This window comes from Homo sapiens, chromosome 2, assembly GCF_000001405.40.
Source record: "Homo sapiens chromosome 2, GRCh38.p14 Primary Assembly".
Taxonomy (NCBI): Eukaryota; Metazoa; Chordata; class Mammalia; order Primates; family Hominidae; genus Homo; species Homo sapiens.
The window spans coordinates 219,723,959-219,745,912 of record NC_000002.12 but is presented as its reverse complement, the minus strand read 5'-3'; the positions used below and the strand labels follow the sequence as shown (position 1 = coordinate 219,745,912).

General features: G+C 42.4%; 2 long non-coding RNA genes across 2 annotated transcripts; both read right to left on the bottom strand.

Annotated features, from left to right (window-relative positions):
• Positions 1–736: 736 nt before the first annotated feature.
• Positions 737–7,114, bottom strand: LOC105373887 (uncharacterized). The gene is made up of 3 exons (XR_923923.2): positions 6,958–7,114; positions 2,914–2,959; positions 737–1,076 (listed from the first exon to the last, which is right to left on the bottom strand). It is a non-coding gene; the product is annotated as an uncharacterized LOC105373887 (long non-coding RNA).
• An 870-nt stretch (positions 7,115–7,984) lies between these two features.
• Positions 7,985–15,920, bottom strand: LINC02832 (long intergenic non-protein coding RNA 2832). Its single transcript, NR_185880.1, has 2 exons — positions 15,732–15,920; positions 7,985–8,459 (listed from the first exon to the last, which is right to left on the bottom strand). It is a non-coding gene; the product is annotated as a long intergenic non-protein coding RNA 2832 (long non-coding RNA).
• Between the last annotated feature and the right edge of the window lie 6,034 nt (positions 15,921–21,954).

Below are 21,954 nucleotides of genomic sequence, written 5' to 3'. Positions count from 1 at the left end.
TCATTTATGGACTCCTCCTGAGTCCATATTAGAGCCTCCTGATCTCCCCAACCTCCTCATTCTGGAGGGCCCATGGCTCAGCATTTGGGTCTTCACTGCATTCCCCACTCCCCTGGTGTTCTCATCCAGTTCCTTGGTTTTAAATTCCATATGTCCACTGATGATTCTCAAATTTCTATCTCCAGCTAGAACCTCTGTCTCAACTCCAGACTCATATATCCAATGTCTTCTCATCCTTCCCAACCTGTGTAAACATCCTGATACTCTCCACCCCAAAATCTGTTCCTCTGTAAAGCCTTTCCCAACCCAACTGCTGGAAACTCAGCCCTTCCTGCTGCTCAAGCCCCAAACCTCAAATGCATTCTTTCCTCCTTTCTTTCACACTCTGATTCTAATCAGAACATTCTATTTGGCTCTGTCTTCAAAATATAACCAGAATCCAACAACTTCTCACTACCTTCAGCAATACTCCCATACTCTAAGTCACCATCATTTTTTTACTTTGATTATGTTACCTTGCTCCCTTACTGTCTATCCTCAACACAGCAGTCAGAGTAAATCTATTAAAACACATCAGATCAAGTCACCCCTCTGCTCAAAACCTCCGGTGGCTTCCAGCACACTCACTTCTATGCAAAATCTTAACAGGATGCTTTTAAGTCTCATCAATCCTGCCCTCTTCTGCCATGAGGGCTACAGAGATGCCACTTGCTCGCAGCTCAATGAATAGATGTCATTGACATGGACAATCTGTTTATTAGGAACTGTTATAGCCAGCTAATCATTTCATTCATAAACCACCAACTAGCCCTCATCCTGGAATTCTTTTGACTAATTCAAGTCAGGTGTGATCCTGTGACCTCCAGGTGAGCAGTGGGGTATCCTGTTTGCCACCCCCGGAGCCATCCATTCATCTGGCTTTAGAGTCCTGATGTTTCATGATATTCGCTTCCCTGAAAAATCTCCAGTCACCCAACTCCATGCAGGTGCATGCCTAAAATCTGTAGCTGCAGCAGCTCCTGCTGGTATCGGTGCAGCTGTTTCTTTTCATGAGCCTCTTTTGTGCACTGATGTAACTGAAAAAAGAGGGGGAGTGTATTGAATTTCAGGAGATAAACCAGCTGGCTTAAGACAGAAGAGGAAGAAAAAGATGACACGGTCAATGGGACACTTTTCATGAGAACATATTTCCAGAAATCCAGGTCCATGTGGGGTATTGCACAGTGTTAATCTTGCCCCTGAGATATGGATTAGGGAGATTCTGCCCATAAAGATGCATGCTTTTCAAATATTCCTCCGAGTCTGGAATGTAGAGACAGCTTAGGAGCTCAGAATCTGAACATTGTCACTGTAGCCTGCTCTCCAGTTTCAAATTCACTTTGCTTTCTTTCCTGTTTTAATTTTTATTTTTTCCAGGTGTGGAGATTGGTTAAGCGGCCACAACATACTCTTATTTAACAACATCAGTGCCGACTGCTTGAGGACTCAGTTAGCTAAATTGGCACTGGGGCCGACATGTGACTTTTTGACCCTACAATTGCAAGTATGGAGCTGTTTGTTTTTTCAGAAGTGTCTAAAACATGTGGAACAGGTATAAAGTTTCCACATGAGCCAACTTCTTTGGTTTGCTCTGATTTAAACAAACTGCTTCCCACAGCTGTGCCAAGAATATTCTTTCCAGTCTCATCTTTTTGAGCAACTCCAAGCTCAGAGCTTTCCAAAATGGAATTTTACCATGTCTCAGATGTGGCAAAATCTTAAACCAACACTTCTCCATGCCAGAATAATAGCAACCTAGCTCAGGAAGAAATCAAAGCTGCATTTCTATTAAACAAGATTATTAACATGGTAGAAAAGAGGAGACTATTTTGTTAATGATCAAATATACAGGCTTCAGCCAACTAAAGCTTTGAAGCAAATAATTGTAGATAGAATCCCTCACTGGAGCTAATCATTACAGCAAATGACATTTGAAATCTTCTTTCCTACTAACTATAGGAATTGAACACTAAAACAAGTTGCCAGCACAGCATTTGATCTTCTGAGCTCAAAGTGCACTTGCTCCAAATTGCAGAGCCTTGAACTCAGTTGGGACAATGCCTTCTTCTGCCCAAATGAGCTAAAAATAAGTTGCAGTGAAACTTACTAATCTAGTGTATGCTAGTGACAAAAACTGAGTCCTGGCAAAGCTGCAGGGAATAGAGTTGAGTGCTGGCATAAAGCAAGCTCCAAATAGCTTGTCTCACTTCTTGTCTGGAATTACCTGCCCATTCCTTGAGCCAGTCGGCCCAAGTGGCTTACATGAGCTAACCAAGAAATCAAGGCTTCTGTGGGTCAGTTAGCTCTGCTGGGGTTTTCAGTCCAAGACTGCACCCCTCACTTGGTCATTCACCCATTTAAAATGCAAGCTCCTTCTCCCCTGGGAGCAACCAGCCTGCGGAGGGTGAGGGAAAAAATTCTCTACCTTCGCTAAAACAGCTCATGGGTTTTTGCAAGTGATAGACTGGGATCTTGTCATATCAAAAATGGAAAGAAGACAAGGCTACTGTGGATTCTAGGTTGGTGAATAGAATATGGAGTGAATATCCCATTCAAAAGAGGCCCTATTTTTCAAATTTAATATAATAAGTATGCATATATACCTAAGAATTATTCATGTTTAATGTCATAGTAATAAACCCTGGCATTTTTATAGTACTTTAAAATTTACAAAACACATTCACACATGTCAATATTTCTTAATCCTATTAGATGGTAAAGTAGGCATTATTACCCTACCTTATAGATTAAAAAAAAAAAAAAAGCTGAAGCTCAAAGAGATCAAGTTATTTGCCCAACATCATTCTGTGATTCTGTGAAGCAATTAGAGAACTCCCAAGTCCCATCCGGACTTCCTAACTCCCAGGTGCTCACCTTGACACATACTGTTTCCTGGATGAATAGATTTTCACACCTGGCCCTAGAGAGATATCAAAAAGTTCAAAGCTGCAACTCTGATCAATCTCATGTGTGCAGATAAAATGGAACACATTTATCTGTAAGGGGAAGAAATATGGATTTTCCCTCCCTTATCCCCCACCGTAACTAAGTACAACTGTGTCCACGCGTATATGACCAAAAGAACTAAACTGTCCATTACACTGGTCCTTCTCACCAGCCACTTAAGGATCACTTAAGAGCTAAACAATTACTGTGACCCTTCCTCCCTCATCCAAATGCCATGTGCACTCCCTGGAGTAGAAGCCCCTCGGCCAGGTACAGTGGCTCACGCCTGTAATCCCAGCACTTTGGGAGGCCAAAGTGGGTGGATTGTGAGGTCAGGAGTTTGAGACCAGCCTGGCCAATGTGGTGAAACCCCGTCTCTACTGAAAATACAAAAATTAGCTGGGCGTGATGGCATACACCGGTAGTCCCAGCTGCTCGGGAGGCTGAGGCAGGAGAATTGCTCGAACCCACGAGGTGGAGGTTGCAGTGAGCCAAGATCGCGCCGTTGCACTCCAGCCTGGGCGACAGAGCAAGACTCTGTCAAAAAAAAAAAAAAAAAAAAAAGAAGCCCCTTATGGGAAGGGACTCATGATGGTCTGCTGTGCCTAGGAAAGCTCATTTCACTTAGCAACAGTTCATTAAATGTTTGCTTTTTATTAGTCTGGAAAAGTAAGAGTCCATCAGGCTGGAGCAAGCAGCCTGGCATAGACCACCTTGCATCCTCCCTAATGATGCTCACTCTCCTCTGATACAGCATGAGAGATGGGACCTCATGGCAACAGGAACAAAAACAATAGTCCATGTTCAACACAGCCTCTAGGTTTTGAAACTACCTATTATTTCCTGTTTAAGGGATTTCATACACATAATACTCTTCCTACTGAACACAGTATTGTATAAAGAAAACAAGTCTTAGACTCTACCCCAGAGAGTAAATTAAAGGAGGTTGCTCATCTCTAAGGCAGCTCCATGATGTGAACAGGCAGGGAAGCATAGCACCTGTTCAGAACACTGAGAGATTATGGGTAGACAGGGCACACAGCCATAAGCTACAAACCAGGGTTAGGTGGAATAAGGAATATTAGAATATGGACTCTGCCTTGTCCTGTCCAAGCAGACATCATCAGTGGATCACAGCACCCTTTAATCCAGTGAAAAATTCTGATCCTCCACGCTGGATACCACGCTTCACGCAGCCACCACCCCTCACTTGGGATCACAAGCAAAATGCCACCTATTTGCCAACCTTGTGTTTAAGGCCATTTCCTCTTACCAGAAGTCTGTTTCACATGTTAGGCATAAATCTGGGTGCTTCTTCATATTCCTCTGAGTTCAAGATTCCTGATTTCAGACTAACAGTCCAATTTGATGGCCTGGACTCTTGACCTCAATTCTTGGTTGCTCTCTGCCTCTTCTCAATTGCCAGTCCCCCAAACCCCCTCCTACCAACCAGGGATTCTGACCCAGCCTTGGTGACCTGCCCCAACTCCTGATTCCTCCTGGCAGCCTTCTTGTCATTCTTCCCCCTGATTTAACTCCCCATCACTGGAGCTCAGCAGGAAGTACCTTGACCAGCTCAAGACTACCCTCTATGCATGCATAATGGCACAAGGGCACTGAAGAACTGAGATAGGCAGGGAAAAAGTAGGAGAATTCAAGAGTCATCAAGGAGAAAGGGAGAAGCCTTAGCTGATTGTTCACAGTCGCCCTCCATGTGGAGTATATCTGAAGGTGGGGCCCAGCCTTCACATATCCCGTCAGAGAAAGTGAAAGATTCCAGTCCTGGATTTTTCTGCTTTACGGTGAAGTTTCTGCCTTCAAGGTAAGGAGCAGATGTTTTCTAAGCTCCCAGGGATTTATCTGCCTTGTTCACACCTTCAGCAGACAGTTCATTGCAGTTTTAATTTATATGGTTCTGTCTCACTGGTGGGACAATAATTCTCGCTCCACTTCAAGTCACAAAATGGCGGCATAAAGGAAAACCAGGCTGTGTCTCATCACATCCAGCTTGCATCCCTCCCTGCTCCTCATTTTCTTTATGCTTCACATGCTCCCTGAATCCAAACAATTCAATCAATCTCAGGTTTGCAACTTGCTGCCAAGAGAGGCCCCATGGCACAGCAGGGAGAGCATAAATTTGGAAGCTGCTTGCTGGGTTCAAGGCCCAGGTCAACCAACAACTCACCAGCCCGATCACCTCCCATCTCTGGGCCTCAGTTTATTCATCTGTAACCTCAGGGCAGGTTGATCCTAATGATTTGTAAGGTCCCTTCCAGCCCTGACATTCTGTTAAACTCAAGTTTATTTGTGAAAGGAGGCTTTCAATCTCTGCTCACCTTGTCCCATCCCAAGCCTGAAAAAGCTACCCGGGTGCCCCTCTGCTGCGCCCACCATTTAGGCTCAGACCCACAGAGGGAGAATCATTCCCAGCTGCTGGCAGCCTAATCCAGCAGCCATGCAGGGAGTCTCGTTACGCCCGTTTCACATGGGTCATGTCAAGTCAACGTGTATTTCTTAAATGCCTCTGACAAGCCCAGAAAGAGGGTGGAGCCCCCAGGGCCTCAGTGACTTCCTCTGCGAAACGAAAGACTTGCACTCGCTGCACTTGTAAGGTGCCTCCCACCTCTGAAGTCCTGAGATTCAGGATTCCGCTGGGGGAAGGGTGGCTACTGCCCAGGGTTGCCAACTGCCAGCCCCGCCCCTGGCATGGCCCAGGCCCAGTTCCTTTCAAGCCTGTGCACCTGAGGCTTCATGTGGGCAGAGTAACCCCCAGTCCAGATATAACCACACGGAGATGAGGGGACGTGTGTGTCATGAACACAGTCACGGCCCCAACACTTCTCCACGGCTGAGTCCCAGCCCTGCCTCCTCCCTGGCCCCCAGCTCTCTGGGCCACTCTGAGATGGATGGCAAAGAGGCAGATGCTTGTCTAGATGGTGTGGTTGAAAGGGAGTCCCCGCACACCCTCCAACTATCTCGCTCACAGACCTGCCTAAAATCCTCATCACAGGCACTTCGATTCTTTGCATTCAGGCATCTTACTTCCAGAAGTTTCCTGTTAAATGCAAATATACACAGAAGAGTCACATGTACTCAGCCTTGGACTTCTTTTTCCAATGCCACCCTTTCACTAACATGTACCAGCTCCCCTCACTACTCCCCAGCAGCCTGAGTCCAGAGCAAAGACCTCTGGCAAACACAAGAACTCTCCCACCAAGAGAAAGGCAGAAACCTAAATTTATGGAGAAAAAAAAAAAAAAACTAGATAGGAAGAGGGAGAAAACAAATAGTCATGCTATCTGACTTCCACCCTGATTTATTTTATGCCCTCCCACAACTAGGGAAAGAAATAGGAATTGGAAGAGGAATTGGTTGGAAAAGAAGAAAAGGATAAGGGGTAACGTAATGGTGATTTGCATACCCATTGTCTTACGAGTGTATTTAGGAATAAAAGTTCTCACTTTTTAAAGTTGTAAAGCCCCATCACATTTTGTTTGATTTGGCTACATGAAACTCTCCTTAAATTACTGCACATGTTTATAAACTTGAATGAATAAAAATTAATTTTGAGTGGGGAGACTTAGAGGGATACGTGTAGCTACACAGAAGGAAACCACAGATATGCAGAACTGGAATTAGCTCTCCGCCTTCCTCACTGAAGCCAGAAGAAAAACTGGAGTCACCATGCATGGAGCAGAATTTAGACCACGTGGAAGACTTTCCTAAAGGAGAGTTGTTGAAACTGAAAGAGAGAATTAGAGGAGATTGGGAGATTTCTTTTTTTGTAAATATTTTTTAAACAGAATCTGTCCCATTTGTGATGGGCTGAAATGTGTAACCGCACCCCCCCCACACACACACACCATTCATGTGTTGAAGCTGTAATCTCCAGAGGGGCAGCATTTGGATACTGGGCCTTTAGGAAGGTAATTAAAGTTAAATAAAGTCATTAATGTAAGGCACTGGGTTTACCGGCAGAAAACACGGCAGCATCCCCGTCAGGAGTCCGGCAATCTCCTCACAACACTCTGACCCATTGGTTCCAGAATCCATGTCCTTTTTTTGAACATACCACCTCCAGGCCTACTCAGCCATCCTTTTTTTTTTTTCTTGGAGTCTCACTCTATCACCCAGGCTGGAGTGCAGTGGTGCCATCTTGGCTCACTGCAACCTCTGCCTCCCAGGTTCAAGTGAGTTTCTTGCCTCAGCCTCCTCCCAGATAGCTGGGATTACAGGCACCCACCACCACGCTCGGCTAAGGGGTCCAGATTCGACCTGTCAAGAAATAAGAGGATGATGCTGTAGAGAAATGGGAAACAGCCATTGTCCCTCACAAACAAACCCAACAGGGGCAGGCAGTGTGCCCCTGTACACCAGGAAGGGATTTTTTTTTTTTCTTTGTAGACAGTCTCACTCTTTTGTCTAGGCTGGAGTGCAGTGGCGCAATCTCGGCTTACTGCAACACCCACCTCCTGGGTTCAAGTGATTCTCATGTCTCAACCTGCCCAGTAGCTGGGATTAAAAGCATACACCACTACACCCAAGTAATTTTTCTATTTTTAGTAGAGATGGGGTTTCACCATGTTGGCCAGGTTGGTCTCGAACTCCTGGGCTCAAGTGATCGGCCTGCCTCGGCCTCCCAAAGTGCTGGGATTACAGGTGTGAACCACCGCACCTGGCCTGGAATGGCTTCTCGAGTCAAAAAGAACCAAAGAAGAGACTGATGCCTTACACTAGGGATGGTGTCAGGAGACAGCTGCCTTCAGGAAGCTGGAGGTGCTGGGATGGGGAAAATGAGGGAATTTTAAAAGGAAATTTGGGGGTAAATATCTCAGCTAAGCATGGGCTTAGGGAAAGGAATTGAACTGCCCCCAAAAGCTGGGACAACTTGCCTGTTTTGAACAAACCTCTGGTTAACATTAAGAGTAGAAATCTGTACTTGATAAAGGACTTCTGTTCCAAAGCTTTTGAAGGAGGAGAAGTGAAGCTATTTCTTTTCTTTTTTTCCTAGTAAATATTTGTATCAAAAATTCTCAAGTTTGTCGCTATTAAAACGAGGTGATGTAGGTGTTTTCATTGGTACTAAGAGGAGCAGGTAAGCTGTGGACTACTGGTAAGCTGCTGGAGGCAAGACTTGATTTGTAGTATTTGCCAATTTCTGGGTTATAAATACTCCCACCAAGGCTGATTTCAAGCTACCAATGGTTTAACAACCAGCTTGCAAAATTCCTATTTAACCAGAGTCTCTGGCAAGTCACCACCAGCTGGCTCCAGCCAACTTCTGCAGGGCATGCAGGCTGAGCAGTGGCAGGTGACCCAGCACAGAACCAGCAGGGAGAGCCAGAGGCCTGGAGAGCAGAGGAGAAATCCCAAGGGTGATGTCAGGAACGCAGGCAGATCCTCCTTTCCAAGATGCATCGCTTCACGAGCACTACTGGAGGTCCAATGTCATGGTCATCCAGCTGTCCCACTTCCTGGAAGGGAGAAGCACATTTCTGTTCTTTGGGATGCACTACCTTATCCCCTGCACACTGTGATTGTGCCATCTGCAGTCCAAGGGAAGAGCAGCAGCCACAGAGAATACCCCAAATCCACCGCAGTCTTAAACTTCCAACATGTCCACAAGAACTTTAGTTTACAGAATAAAGAAAACAAAGGGAAGGAAGGGAATTTTATTTAGAAAAGATCTTCACTAACCATTGTAAAACCAATGAGCCCCACTTCCCCAGGGACCCCAAGAAAATGCCAATGGTTTCCTCCATAAAGTGAGGAAGAGAAAAGGAGTTTCCAAAATCCATGTTTGGATTTGGCCAGACACGTGCTGAATGCTTTTCCCCAGCAGATAGCAACAGGACCCGAGCAATTCCATCACCCATCTACCCCTGACCTTCTGTAGATGACACCTCTTGACTGACCTATACTCTGCACACTCACGTATAATTCATTTAGAACTTCATTCTGTGATCCAGTGTGTCTCAAATAAAATACAAACATACATTTTTGTTTCCAAAACCAAACCAAATGCAAAAGCTGAGACTGGGGCTTATACCTCCCTAGCTTACCCTTCAGTACCCAGCCCTGAGCTCTCCACTTGGCCAATGTTCCATACATTTTTGTCTTTCTCCCCTGCAGAAATTCACCAGGGGATTCTCTCTAAAGGCTTATGCCAGTCACTTCCAGGGTGTTATGAAAACCTATTTTTTGGCCCATGGGGCAGAGAATTGGGTAGAATTTGAGCCAGCACTGGCAAGCATTAAACTAATGCTTGATGAAGTGGATTAACTAAAAGATAGGATTATCAATACATAACCTAGTGGTTCTTATTATATGTATGTGAGTTATCCATTTAAGAGTCCAGGTAGGGTAATACGTTTAAACAGTGCATACGTAAGAAGACACAGAGGGTGTGAATGATGCATATGTTTCCACCAGCCCTCTGGCTGTGCTTCAAGCTGAAAACTCCTGCATTTCCTTGGACTAAGGAACCACAACTAAGAAGGCATTTATTGGGAACGATAAAGGAGAAAGGGTGACCTCTGCTGGGGAAATGAGTTTGTATCTCATTATTTTCTCCAACTCTGTGAAGAAAAAAGTGAATAAAGTGGGAGGAGGTAGAAATGTAACAATGTCCTCCAGGAACAAATGATCATTTTTCCCCACTAATAATTTCTACAATCTCATCAACAAAAGGTCATTGTTTGTTTGGCACATGAACTCTTTAATGATGTGTAGAAATGAGATTCGACTAGGTTTTATAGTGTTTAATAATCATTCTCTAGAAAAAAATGAAGAAATGCTTTCATTTGGAACTGAATAATTTGCTTTATTTTCCTTTTTCTTTTTTGATATTTCACTAATGAAATGAAGAATCTGCAACTGCTTTTTAAATATGAGAACTACTTAGAATAAATGAAAGTCCAGCCCCCAAATGTCTCATTAAGGTCTACAAGTATTCGTTGGATAAATCCACATTTTAGGAATTAAAATATTAAAAACACTTTCAAACAATCTCTACATTTTACAATTGAATGTTTTATGAAGAATGGGAAATACATTACATCGCTTTAAAACTCAGCAATGCTCAGAACAAAATCACTTCTTTGTCGTTCTCATTACATTGCTTGATTTCACTCCTTTGCGTGTCTTTCATCGCCTTTTGACGAGCAAAAAACATGTGTTGTGCCACTGGCCCTCCAACAGCATTCAGTTATTAGTCAGACTTTCCCTGATTCTAGACATCACTTTGGTCTTTAGCTTTGCCAAGTTTAAAGCAAAATACCTAATTTCAAGTTTTCCATAGAAAAGCTGGGCAAGATCCTTTTAAATCTAGCTTTTTAATTGTGTGATGCTGGTGCACATGTAATTCTTCTGTGTGTGTAATTAGGCTCATCAAGGGAGGGAGTGAAGAGGGGACACACAGGAAAGCAGACTTGGAATATCATTCAGAGTTATAGAAGCTGGATTACACTTTTGGGAAACCGTATGTCCTTTGGGAGTCATGACTATAAAAGACATCAGTATCCACTGTAATGGAACCCATGCTCTATCTTTACCAAAAAAATTTAATAAATCAACTTAAATAGAGTGTTTCTTTAAATACCTGTTTATATGTCCTACATAATAAAAGAATTGTATCTTTGTCAGATGCTTTGCTTAAGCTAGTGCACGCTTCCTTCCCACTTCCCTCAGCCTGATGACACAACAGACTATTTCATCGTCAACACCTTTTTGGAAATTGGGCAGAGAGGACAGAGAAAGGGGAAAGAGTAGATTTAACGTTTATTGGTTGGGTTCCTGCCTGGGCCTAAACTGGGGTGGGTGGGGAGGAGAAAAGAATAGGAGTGAAAACAGGTCAAACAGGACTCATTCCCAGCACTTGCCATGACCTCTTCACTCCCTTGCTTTTTCCTCTAATATCATAAACGTATTCATTCTTTCCTCAGAATATCAAGGAGATGTATTCTTCCTTGAAGGCAATGTTTTTGCTTCCTTTTGTTTTATTAAAAAAGTAGACAATGAATTAAGAAATTAATCAATTCTAAATGTTCATATTTATTTAAATGCCAGTATGCATCGAGTTTTTAAAAAATTAACATAAGACCCTAAAAATTCAAGTAATTGTATCTAATATTAATGACAAGAAACAGTAAAGATGGAAGAAACATATTCCTGAAACCATATGTATTTCTTAGAAAAAGGTGACCTTACAGGTGTAATCATTCATATTAGCATTCGATAGACAACCATCAGTTAAGTAAGTCACTACAAAGGCCTAAGTCATTTCTCTCATTTGATTAATATTAAGCACCTGCTGTATGCCATGCACTGCGCCGGGCATTAGGGAGACAACTCTAATAAAGTCAGATTTCCTTCTGGTCCTTCTGGAGCTTATAATATCATGCCAGACATCAATCAACCATCCACAATTTTAAATATAAAATTACAATAGTGATGAGTGCTACCACTGAGAGGTAGATGGTGCTACGGGAGCATTGTTTTTCTTAAAGAATTGTGTTTTTAAAATCCATCTGCATAGTGGGAAAATCCAGCATTGTTGAATTCTGGCCTAGGGCAGAAATAGCTCAAATCAAAGAACTAAAATCAACATTTTATAGGAACAACATGACCGAGCAAACTCTGAGGTAGTGGTCAAAAAGGTGCTTGATTCAATTTAAATATATTTGTTCAGCATCTATGCTATGTAAAGAAGTGCTTATCAAACTTTCATGTGCTCGGGAATCTCTTGGCAATCTTATTCAATGCAGATTTTGCCTCTGTAGGCTCAGGGTGGGGCCTGGGATTCTGCATCTCTAGCAAGCTGTTAAGAGATGCTGATGCTTCCGGTCCCTTCATCATACCCTAAGTAGCTCCAGTTCAGGCCAAGATGCTGAACTAGCGAGGCTGCTGGATGTCCATCCCACCTCTCACCCCTATTAACCCCACAGGAGCCAGAAAAGTAAAGAAGAGAACACTGTGAGAAGCTCTTGAGTTGACTGGGGATGTTATTTCAAATGAGGTTGTGAAGTGGTGGCTTTGTCCCAAGGCAGGAAGCAGCCCAGCAGGGTTGTGGGAAGAGAAAATAGAAAAACTGGTGGAATTCTGCTCTCACCAACCCCATATCTCCTTGGGGCAAACAGTGCCTGCACCTCACCTGCCAAGCTCAGATATCCTCAGAAGAAACTGAGGATCCTCAGAAGAAATAATCTGGAAGTTATTTCTATGTCTCTTCCCCTTCAAACTCCCAGGGCTGGAAAGTGACAATCTGGTCTTGATGGTGGGCCTCAAACTTGGCTGAAGATACAAATCATGTGGGGAGCTTGAAAGTACTTGGATTCCACCTCTAGAGATTCCATTGAAATTGCTCTGGAGCATGACCCAGGCATCCAGATTTGTAGAGGCTTCCCAGGTCATTTGAATGTGCAGCCAAGATTTAAAACCACTGAATTCTGACTGTCTCCTGCAAATCTGCTTCTCTCTGAGGGACAAAAGATGAAGGCCTGAGCTAAAAGCTTATTTTGTGAGATAAGGAGCAACGGAATATAATTTTCAGAGCTCTCCACCCTGGGGCTCATCTAGCCCCATCCCCTGAGTTCACTGGAGCTAACACGCCTGGACCTGCCTTTCTCAACTTGTACTGCCTGTGGAGTCAGTGCCCTAGGGAAAAAATGAGCACACAAAACAAAATAACAGGACATTTGAGGAGCACAGACATCTCTAAAGGAAGAGGGCCTCCTGGATGACAAATTCCAACAGAAGCAGAAATATTAGGACAGATGGATCAAGTATTTTTAATCATCCTGGTAAATATATTAAAAGATAGAAGGAAAATTAATAAGAAGCAAAAAAATATATAAAGAGAATCAAGCAGAAATACTAGTAATAAAAATATAAAAATACAAATAAAGAGCAGAATTGATGCTACTGAAGAACAAATTAGTGATTTGGTATATCAGATTGAAAAAACATATATCAGAAGGTAGATGAAAAGGACAAGGAAATAGACAATATACTAATAAAAAGAAAAGCTAAGAGATAAGGAGAACAGATGCAGAGGTACTAACATCCAGACAGTAGGAGTTCTATTTAAAAAAGAAAAAAAATAGAGGGGAAGAAGATTTGAGGACATAACAAAGATCAATTATTCTGCCACATCTATAGAGAGAGAAAGTGAGAGCAGAATACACACAAACACACACACACATGAGAGAGAAATAAAGGAAAAACTCATACCTAGGTATACTATAATAAAACTTAAGATTTTTATAAAACAAAAAAAAGTTCTAAAAGCTGTCATAAAAAGAGGAGACCACATACAAAAGAACGAGAATCAGATTGGCATCAACGATATTGGATGCAAAAAAAAAATGGAGTAACGTTTTGACAGAATTGAAGGAAATAGAATTTAGAACCTATTATTTTATAGTCAACCAAACTGTCATTCAAATATTAAGGTCAAATAAAAATATTCTCAGGCATAGAAGATTTGCTGCAGAAAGATGTGCATTGTAAACTGTTTTGGCTAAAGTACTATGTATGAGAGAGAAAAATCCAGGAGACTGCAAGAGATTTGTGGAACAACGGTGATCAAACACCTTGATAAACTCTTATTGCTTAAAAAGCAAAAAGCAAGCTAAGACCAATGAAAAGGAGAAAATATATCTGTAACAACGCAGAATTAGAAGCCTAGGTTATATCAACATAACAGGGCAGGGGAGGGAGCCAGGAATCTTAGATTTTTACTTCATTAAGAAGAATTAGGGAGATAAAAATATATTATTAAAAATAAAAGTAAGAAAAATAGAAGAAAGCATTGAAAAAGTAGCACAGCTGAAATAACAAGTCAGAATGATAAAAATTGGTCCATGTATGTAATTTATTATAATAAAGGTAGATGGATTGAGCTCACCACTTAAAACATAAGGTGTGACAGATTAGATTCATTTGTAAAATTTTGACACATGCTATTTACAAAAAAACGTACCTCAAACATACAGATATGCAAAGACTGAAAGCAAAAGAATGGAAAAAGACATAGTACATAAATATTAATCAGAAGAAAGCTGACCTAGCTATATTCATTCCACAAAACATAGCCTTTAAGTAAAGAGCATTATTAAGAAAAGAATGCCCTTGGACACAGCAATTTGCTCCCAGGTATAAGCACAGAGAAAATCATACACATGTGTAGCAATTGAGGCAGATAGAATCTAAAATGATCACCAACTATCCCTTCCTTCTGGTATTTATACGTGCAATCTCCTTCCTTTGACTGTGGGCAAGACTGGTGAATTGCTTCTAACCAAGAGAATATGGTCATGTTGATGGATGATATGTCTTGTGATTATTTTACCTAAGAATATAATGTTTGTCATGCCTGCAGACCCTCTCCCTTGCCGGTTTTAATGAAGCAGGTGATCACTCTGGGGAGGCCCACATGACAAGAAACTGAGGGTGCCCTCTGCCGACAGCCAGCAAGAAAATGAAGCCCTGGCCTGGCAAACTGCAAGAACCCGAATCCTGCCAACAACCACATGCACTTGAAAGTGAATCTTCCCCAGTCAAGCCTTGAGATTAGAGCACAGCCCTGGCCAACACTTTGACTGCAGACTTGTGAGGACTTGAAGCAGAGGACCAAGCTAAGCCCTGCCCAGACTCCTGACTCACAGAAACTGTGAGGTAACAAATGTATGTTATCTAAGTAACTAAGTGTTGGGTTATATTGGCCAAGTGCAGTGGCTCACACCTGTAATTCCAACACTTTGGGAGGCCGAAGTGGGTGGATCACTTGAGGTCAGGAGTTCAAGACCAGCCTGGCCAACATGGTGAAATCCTGTCTCTACTTAAAAAAAAAAAAGGGTTATATTCTTATGCAGACATAGATAACTAATACAAGAGACATATATAAGACTGTCAGTAGTAAAACAAAACAATAACAAAATCCTGGAAACAACCAAATGCCCATCAAGAAGAGAGAGGAATGAATAAACTATGTCACAATATGGATAAATCTTAACATCATGATTCTAAGTGAAAAAAATGTTAATTACTAAAAGATTACCTCAGCATGATACCCTTGTAAAAAACTAAAAACAAAATCAAATTCATATATTATTTAGAAAGACAAACATAAATAAATTTCTTGTGAAATTAAACATGACGTTCTTATAAAGTTATACATAAACTTACCACATGACCAAACAATACCACTCCTAGATATTTACTCAAAAGAAATGAAAACATGGCCGGGCGCGGTGGCTCATGCCTGTAATCTCAGCACTTTGGGAGGCCAAGGCGGGCAGATCACGAGGTCAGGAGATCAAGACCATCCTGGCTAACACGGTGAAACCCCGTCTCTACTAAAAAATACAAAAAATTAGCCAGGCATGGCAGTGGGCACCTGTAGTCCCAGCTACTCGGGAGGCTGAGGCAGGAGAATGGTGTGAACCTGGGAGGCAGAGCTTGCAGTGAGCTGACATCACACCACTGCACTCCAGCCTGGGTGACAGAGCAAGATTCTGTCTCAAAAAAAAAAAAAAAGAAAGAAATGAAAGCATAGAGCCACACAAAAACCTGTATATGAATGTTTAAAGCAGCTTTATTTATAATTGCCAAGAACTGGAAAAAATCCCCATGTCCTTTAACTGGTGAAGAGCAAAACATACTGCAGTATACAACAGAACCCTGCTCGGCAACACAAAACAACAAATGACAACAAACATACAACAACAACAAAGCAACAAACATACCACCACATGGATGAACCTCAAATGCGTTATGCTGAGTGAGTAAATCCAGACTCAAAAGACTACACATTGTGTGATTCCTTGTATATGACTTCCTGGAAAAGGCAGAACCATGGAGACAAGAAACTGAGCCACTAGGTTGCCAGGGGTTGGAGGTAGAAGAGAGGAATTGACAACAAAGAAGCAGAAGAGAACACTTTAGAGTGACGGACCTGTTCTATACCTTGATTTCGGTGGTAGTCATACAGCTGAATTTACATGTCAAAACTCATAAAAGTATACTCTAAGAAGAGTGGGTTTTACTGTATGTAAATTATACCTCACTTAAATAGATAATATATACACACATCAGGTAAGTGCTCCTTTTGACAATGCCCCAAACCACATCCTCCACCCTGCCATACCCTAGTGCCCCTCCCTGCTCCCTATGCAAAGAACAAAATGAGAAGTTGTGTCATTGGAAATGTTATGGTTAACATAACTACAGAAAACAACCTGGAATGGGAACCAGAGGAGAAAAAGGAGAGTTTCAACAATTAAAATGATGTCTAGAAAACAGTCAGGAAAATGGAGAGCATGTTCATTCCTCCGTTTGCTTTGGGATGCATGTCTATGACTTTACAATAGTGAATCTTATTTAGCTTAAAGTGGAAGTCACTGAGTCATTGTCCAACCACCTGCAACACAGGGAGACTCGTCCCAAAGTCAGTAGCCCTATTTCTTCCGGATTCACTTTGCCTTGGAACACCCTGATAAACGGCCCATTAGCAGCCCACGAAGAGATTAAGAAACAATTCTGTTTAAGAGAATGCAGTTTCGCAAAATGATCCTTGAATCAGAATGTTCTGCTTCTGCTATCTTTTATGAGCAAAAGGAGCAGAGGTTTTGAGGTCACAGTCAGCCTGACCATATTTTGTTCTTATCTCCCTATTTTCTACTCCATAATGAAATTTAAATAGCTCGCTATCGCTAAGTAAATAATTGGTGCCGTAACAGCCTTCTGGAAGCTTTTAATTGTGTCAAAGCAGCTCTTCAATTCTAAACATTCCTTACAACCGAACGATAGTTAGAGCTTTGGGTGTCTTCTTGGCAGATGGAGATAAGAACACAAAATGGGATAAGAAGGCAGGAACTTCCCATTAATCATGGCAGTGTTCCTTTATTCCAAGATCATAAAATGCTTGAAATCACAGCTTTGTCTTGGTGAGGGAGGGAAAGGGGCCTGACTGAGACGCAGAAAGTCTAGGTTTTAGTCTCTGCTGGGCCCCTGCCCAGCTTCCTGATGTGGAACGAGGTGCTTAATTACCTCTTTGGACCTCATTTTCCTCCTGTGTACCCCAGATTCCGTAGCCAGGGTGTCCCCTCCACATTGCCCCAGGTCAAGGTGCTCTATCAAGCAATAGTCTTACCCCCAGTTCCAGATGTGGAGCTTCTCCCCTTCACTTTGCTGTCTGTCCAGGGATCTGCTTTGATCTTACCAATGTCCTAGGGTCCTTGTGGAGAAGTGTCCCCACAGGGTGGCCAAATTGTGGCATGCAAGAGAGACTCCAGGCACTGGCCAGATGCTGCTAACCCAAGATAAAGGGTTACCCCAGACAACGCTTTCCACAATCAGAAATTACTGGGAAATCCATCTGAAATCAATCAAATAAATTTCTTTGCCGCACGACTTCCCAGAGTCTTTATTTTCTCATGTACTTTGAGACTTTCCTAGAGGGAGGGACAGAAGTATTTGACCAAGGAATCCACTTTTTTTCCAAAGATCTATGCTCAGGTCTGGCATGCCTTAAAAATGCTGGTCCAGATTTATGACGCTGTCTGTTGATTTTTCATTCATTATCTTCAAATCAGGAGGGACTCAACCTTGGCTGCAGAATAGCATCACCCGGGCCCACTCCCTGGGCCTCATCCCCAGGGAGTACAGTCACATTTGTCTGAGAGGTGAGTACTGCTTTCAGCTCTCCTACAAATTCTGACGTGCAGCCAGCATGGAGAGCCGCTAGCTCAGGGAGCAGGGGAAGGGGATTCCTGCTCCTAAGCGTATTCTAGAGTATACAAGAGGGAGCACAGCCCCACTCCCAGGTCAGTGTTAAGCAGTAAACCCAAGAAAGTGTTTATCTCTCTACCCAGAGTCAAAGCTACAAGCCCCCTAAGCCCCGTACATACTGGGAGGATCTCCATGGAGGATGTGGAATGAGTAACACAGTATTTCCTAACAGTTACTCAATTAGGATTCTGGCCCTAATCATCACTTTTAAAAACCCCGTGGACTTTTCCTTTCAAAACGGAAATAACTTTACTGATTTTCTGGTTGAAAATTTAATGCCTACTCATGGCTGGGTGGGGGGACTACATAGAAGTGTAAAGAGAAAACTAATTGTTCTTAATCCCCCTGCTGTGAGCATTTTGTATTTACTTCTAGGCCTTAATATGTTTTTAATGTCACTTTGTAACTTGTTTTTTTTTTTAACTCATCAACATTTCTCAAATGTCTTTTAATCTCAGTATAAATAAAACAAGATCATTATTTTTAATGGTATTGCCATATTCTAAGTAGACCACAAACTATTTAACCGAACCCCGTGTTTAGCTATTCTAGTGTTTACCATCAGTAAAGGAATAGAATCTTTGCACATACATCTGATTGGTTTCTTAGAATAAATTTTTGGAAGTGGAAGCACTCACTCCAAATCCCAGAAGCCAACTGAACCCACTTAGGTGGGCTTCCCTTTCTATTTACCATCCAGGGGCACTGCTTTTCCTTCTCATTTCCCTACCCTAAGCCCCTCCAGCTTTCTCCACTCCCTAGCTCTTGTGAAGTATTTTCTAGCTGTTGTTGATCCGTGTCCCTCCACCTTTTATTGAATCTCCCTCAAGATTCTCTGTTAAAGCCAGTATTTTACTTTAGAAAGTCTTGGTTCTATGCAAATCTTCATTCTCTTTGCACCCCCATCTAGTTGAGGCTGGAGGTCTCATCCCCCAGCAGAGGTCACCAAATCCTCTTTTAAGGAACGAGCAAGGGGAAGCAAGCTGAGGTTGTCCCTTCTGGAAAGTCTTAGGTGACCTCCCTTCCACAAACACCCTGGCCCCTCCAGCCTTCCCCAGAGTACCTGCCTTTCCCTCTGCAGTAGCACTTGTCACTCTGTGCTATGATTACTTATGCATCAGTTTTCCCTTGACAGTGAGTCCCTTGTCCCCATCCCTGTGCCTCCCGACTCCACCACCACCCTGGCTGAGAAGATGTCTTCAGGGTTTACTGAATGTCTGATATTAAAAAGCCACATTTTTTCCAGGAAAAACTCCAAGTGGTCCTTCTTTATAATATTAAACGTAGTAACTATGACCCAAATCCCCTCCTTTTGCCAAAAAAACAACACAGCCTCAAACTCATGCCTAGGCTGAGGCTGACTCTCGTGACCTCACCACTGTCAGAGGCATTTGAACCACAGCAATTCCATCTTGAATTGGGGCTGAGTAAAATAAGGCTGAGACCTACTGGGCTGCATTGCCAGGAAGTTAGGCGTTCTTAGTCACAGAATAAGATGGGAGGTCAGCGCCAGACACAGATCACAAAGACCCCACTGATAAAACAGGATGCAGTCAAGAAACTGGCCAAAACCTGCCAAAATCAAGATGGTGACAAAAGTGATCTCTGGTCGTCCTCCCTGCTCATTTTACACTAGTTATAATACATTAGCATGCCAAAAGACACTCCCACCAGCACCATGACAGTTTACAAATGCCATGGCAATGTCAAGAAGTTACTCTATATGGACTAAAAGGAAGAGGAATCCTCAGTTCCAGGAAATCCTTGCCCCTTTCCTGGAAAACTCATGAATAATCCACCCCTTATTTAGCATATGATGGAGAAATAACCAAAAAAATAGCTAACCAGCAGCCCTTGGCGATGCTCTGCCTATGGAGTAGCCATTCTTTATTCCTCCACTTTCTCAATAAACTTGATTTCACTTTACTCTGTGGACTTGCCTCGACTTCTCTCTTGTGAGAGATCCAAGAACCCTCTTTTGGGGTCTGGATTGGGATCCCTTTCCAGTAATAAATACCACTGAATTACCAAGAGCACACTACCTCTTCCAATGATCAGGCATTGAAAGGAGCTCCACTTTTCTTACTGCATTTTCTACACTGATGCCTCCTGAAGTCCCCACCTGGCCTTTGGCAGGGGCAGCAAGGTTGCTGATAAAAACCTTCTTGATGCCAGGGAGTGACTCTACCAGCAAATGGCTTAGTGTGTTTCCTTCCTGCCAACTCCACTTTTACCCAACTCACCAGTTTATTCATTCATTCAACCAGTCCTTTGCGACTGGAAACCCTATGGTAAAGCAGGGAGACATAGTCCCAGCGTTCAAAGAGGTTAATTTTAGGGAATCCAAAAACTAGTAAACAAACAAATAAAATATGTATGAATTTTGATGAACGCTTTGAAGGAAACAAAAAGGAGGCTAAAATAAAGAATAAGAAGTTCTTGTTGATTACTCTCAGTGATCAGGGTGATTAGGAAAGGCCACCTGCCTGCAGTAGGAAAGGAAGGAGAATATTCTTCCAGGACAGAGAACAGCACCCTGAGGCAACCTTGAAGCAGAAACGGGCCTGGAGCCTGGTGAGGCAGGGGCAAACTGGAGGTGAGTTTGGGGAGACAGGCAGGAGTGCTGATGTGTATATTTAGGTACGTGAGTCTTAGATTATCTGTTGGAATTCAGGGTCCAGTTGGTCATTATCAGTAAGCTACCCAGATTCAAAATTACAAAATGCCTCGGGTTTTTTTAGCATCTTCCATAAACAAAAAAATTATTATCTTTGACTCTTCAAAGTATCTCAAACCATGGTCATGTCAAGACCATCCACTTGGATAGAATGAAACTGGGACACTATGTTGAAGGAGAGTCACATAAAAATTATCTGAAACTCTGATTTTAATGTGTTTTCAGTTTCTCTGAATCAAAAAACAAAGCATATCTAGAGGTGTCATTTTCTATTTTTTTTTCTAGTTTCAACTTTTTAATTACAAGATCTTCACAGATTCCTCTGTGAAGGAAGGAGAATATGAGAGGAGGAGAGGTAAGATAGAGCCATTTTATACAAGTTTCAAAATAGAAATGTGGGCCCTCCTTTTCTACTCTAAATAGTATGGCTTAAGCTGCTCTTTCTTAGTTCCTTGCACCTATTTCTGCTCCTCTCTGGGGCCCCACTTCTAGCCATGACTTCTTTCAATGGAGGTATTTTTGCCTTCAGCCTCCTGTTTATTTATCTGGCCCCAAAGTTAGGACATATGCAGGCAAGTGTCCATGTAAACAAGGTCTGACCTGAAAGGATTGCATAGATAAGGACCTGTGTTCTGCTTCAGAGAAGGGAGGGCCACACTGGCTAAGGCAAGCATGTGTTATTGGGAAATATGACGACATTCACACAGTCTTCCTTAGTCAGGGCTGTTTGTGAATACAACAAGCACTGAATCCTTCTGAGTGCTGCCTTTAATATGCTGCCTCCCAATAAGAACATCTCCAGCTATTCAGCTTCAGAAAGTTGATCTTTGAGGATTTCCAAAAGCAACTCAAATCCGAACTCCTGGAGAAGGGGGAAAAGGCAGAGAGATGGAAGGCACAATTCCATCACAAATTGCCTAGGTTAACATGGCTCAGCCAGCCTTTTTATTCTTACCCTGAGAATACTTTCAAAAACAAGTGTCTTTGAAATAAGTCACTTCGCAAACACATACTAGGGTCTTAGAAGAGTCTTTGAAGGGGTCTTTGCAACACTGCCAGGAGTGACGAGAAGACAAAGAAAAGTAAAACATAATAATCATCCTTGAAACATTTTTGCTGATTAAACATTAGAAGATTTTCATCATCTACAAGGCAGGAGGTGGATGAAGGGGAACCTACTGAAAAAAAAAGCCAAACAGCACTTCATAGTTAACCTAAGAGGTTAAAAATGCTGTGGGATTCGAGGGAGGAAAATCCCCCCTTGAATCCATCTGTGAGTATCAGGCATAGCTTCACAGAAGAATTTTCTCTAAATTCTATTCTGCTTCTTATGCCTCAGTATTGAGGTAGGTGTCGAGAGAGGTTGGGTCTGCCAGGTTCAAATTTTCTTGGCACTTAAATTACAAGGAAACATCACAGAGTTCGTGCAACTACAAGAAATTTCAAGGTTCTGAAATTTTAAAAAGAAATTTTTTTTTTTTTTTTTTTGAGACAGAGTCTCG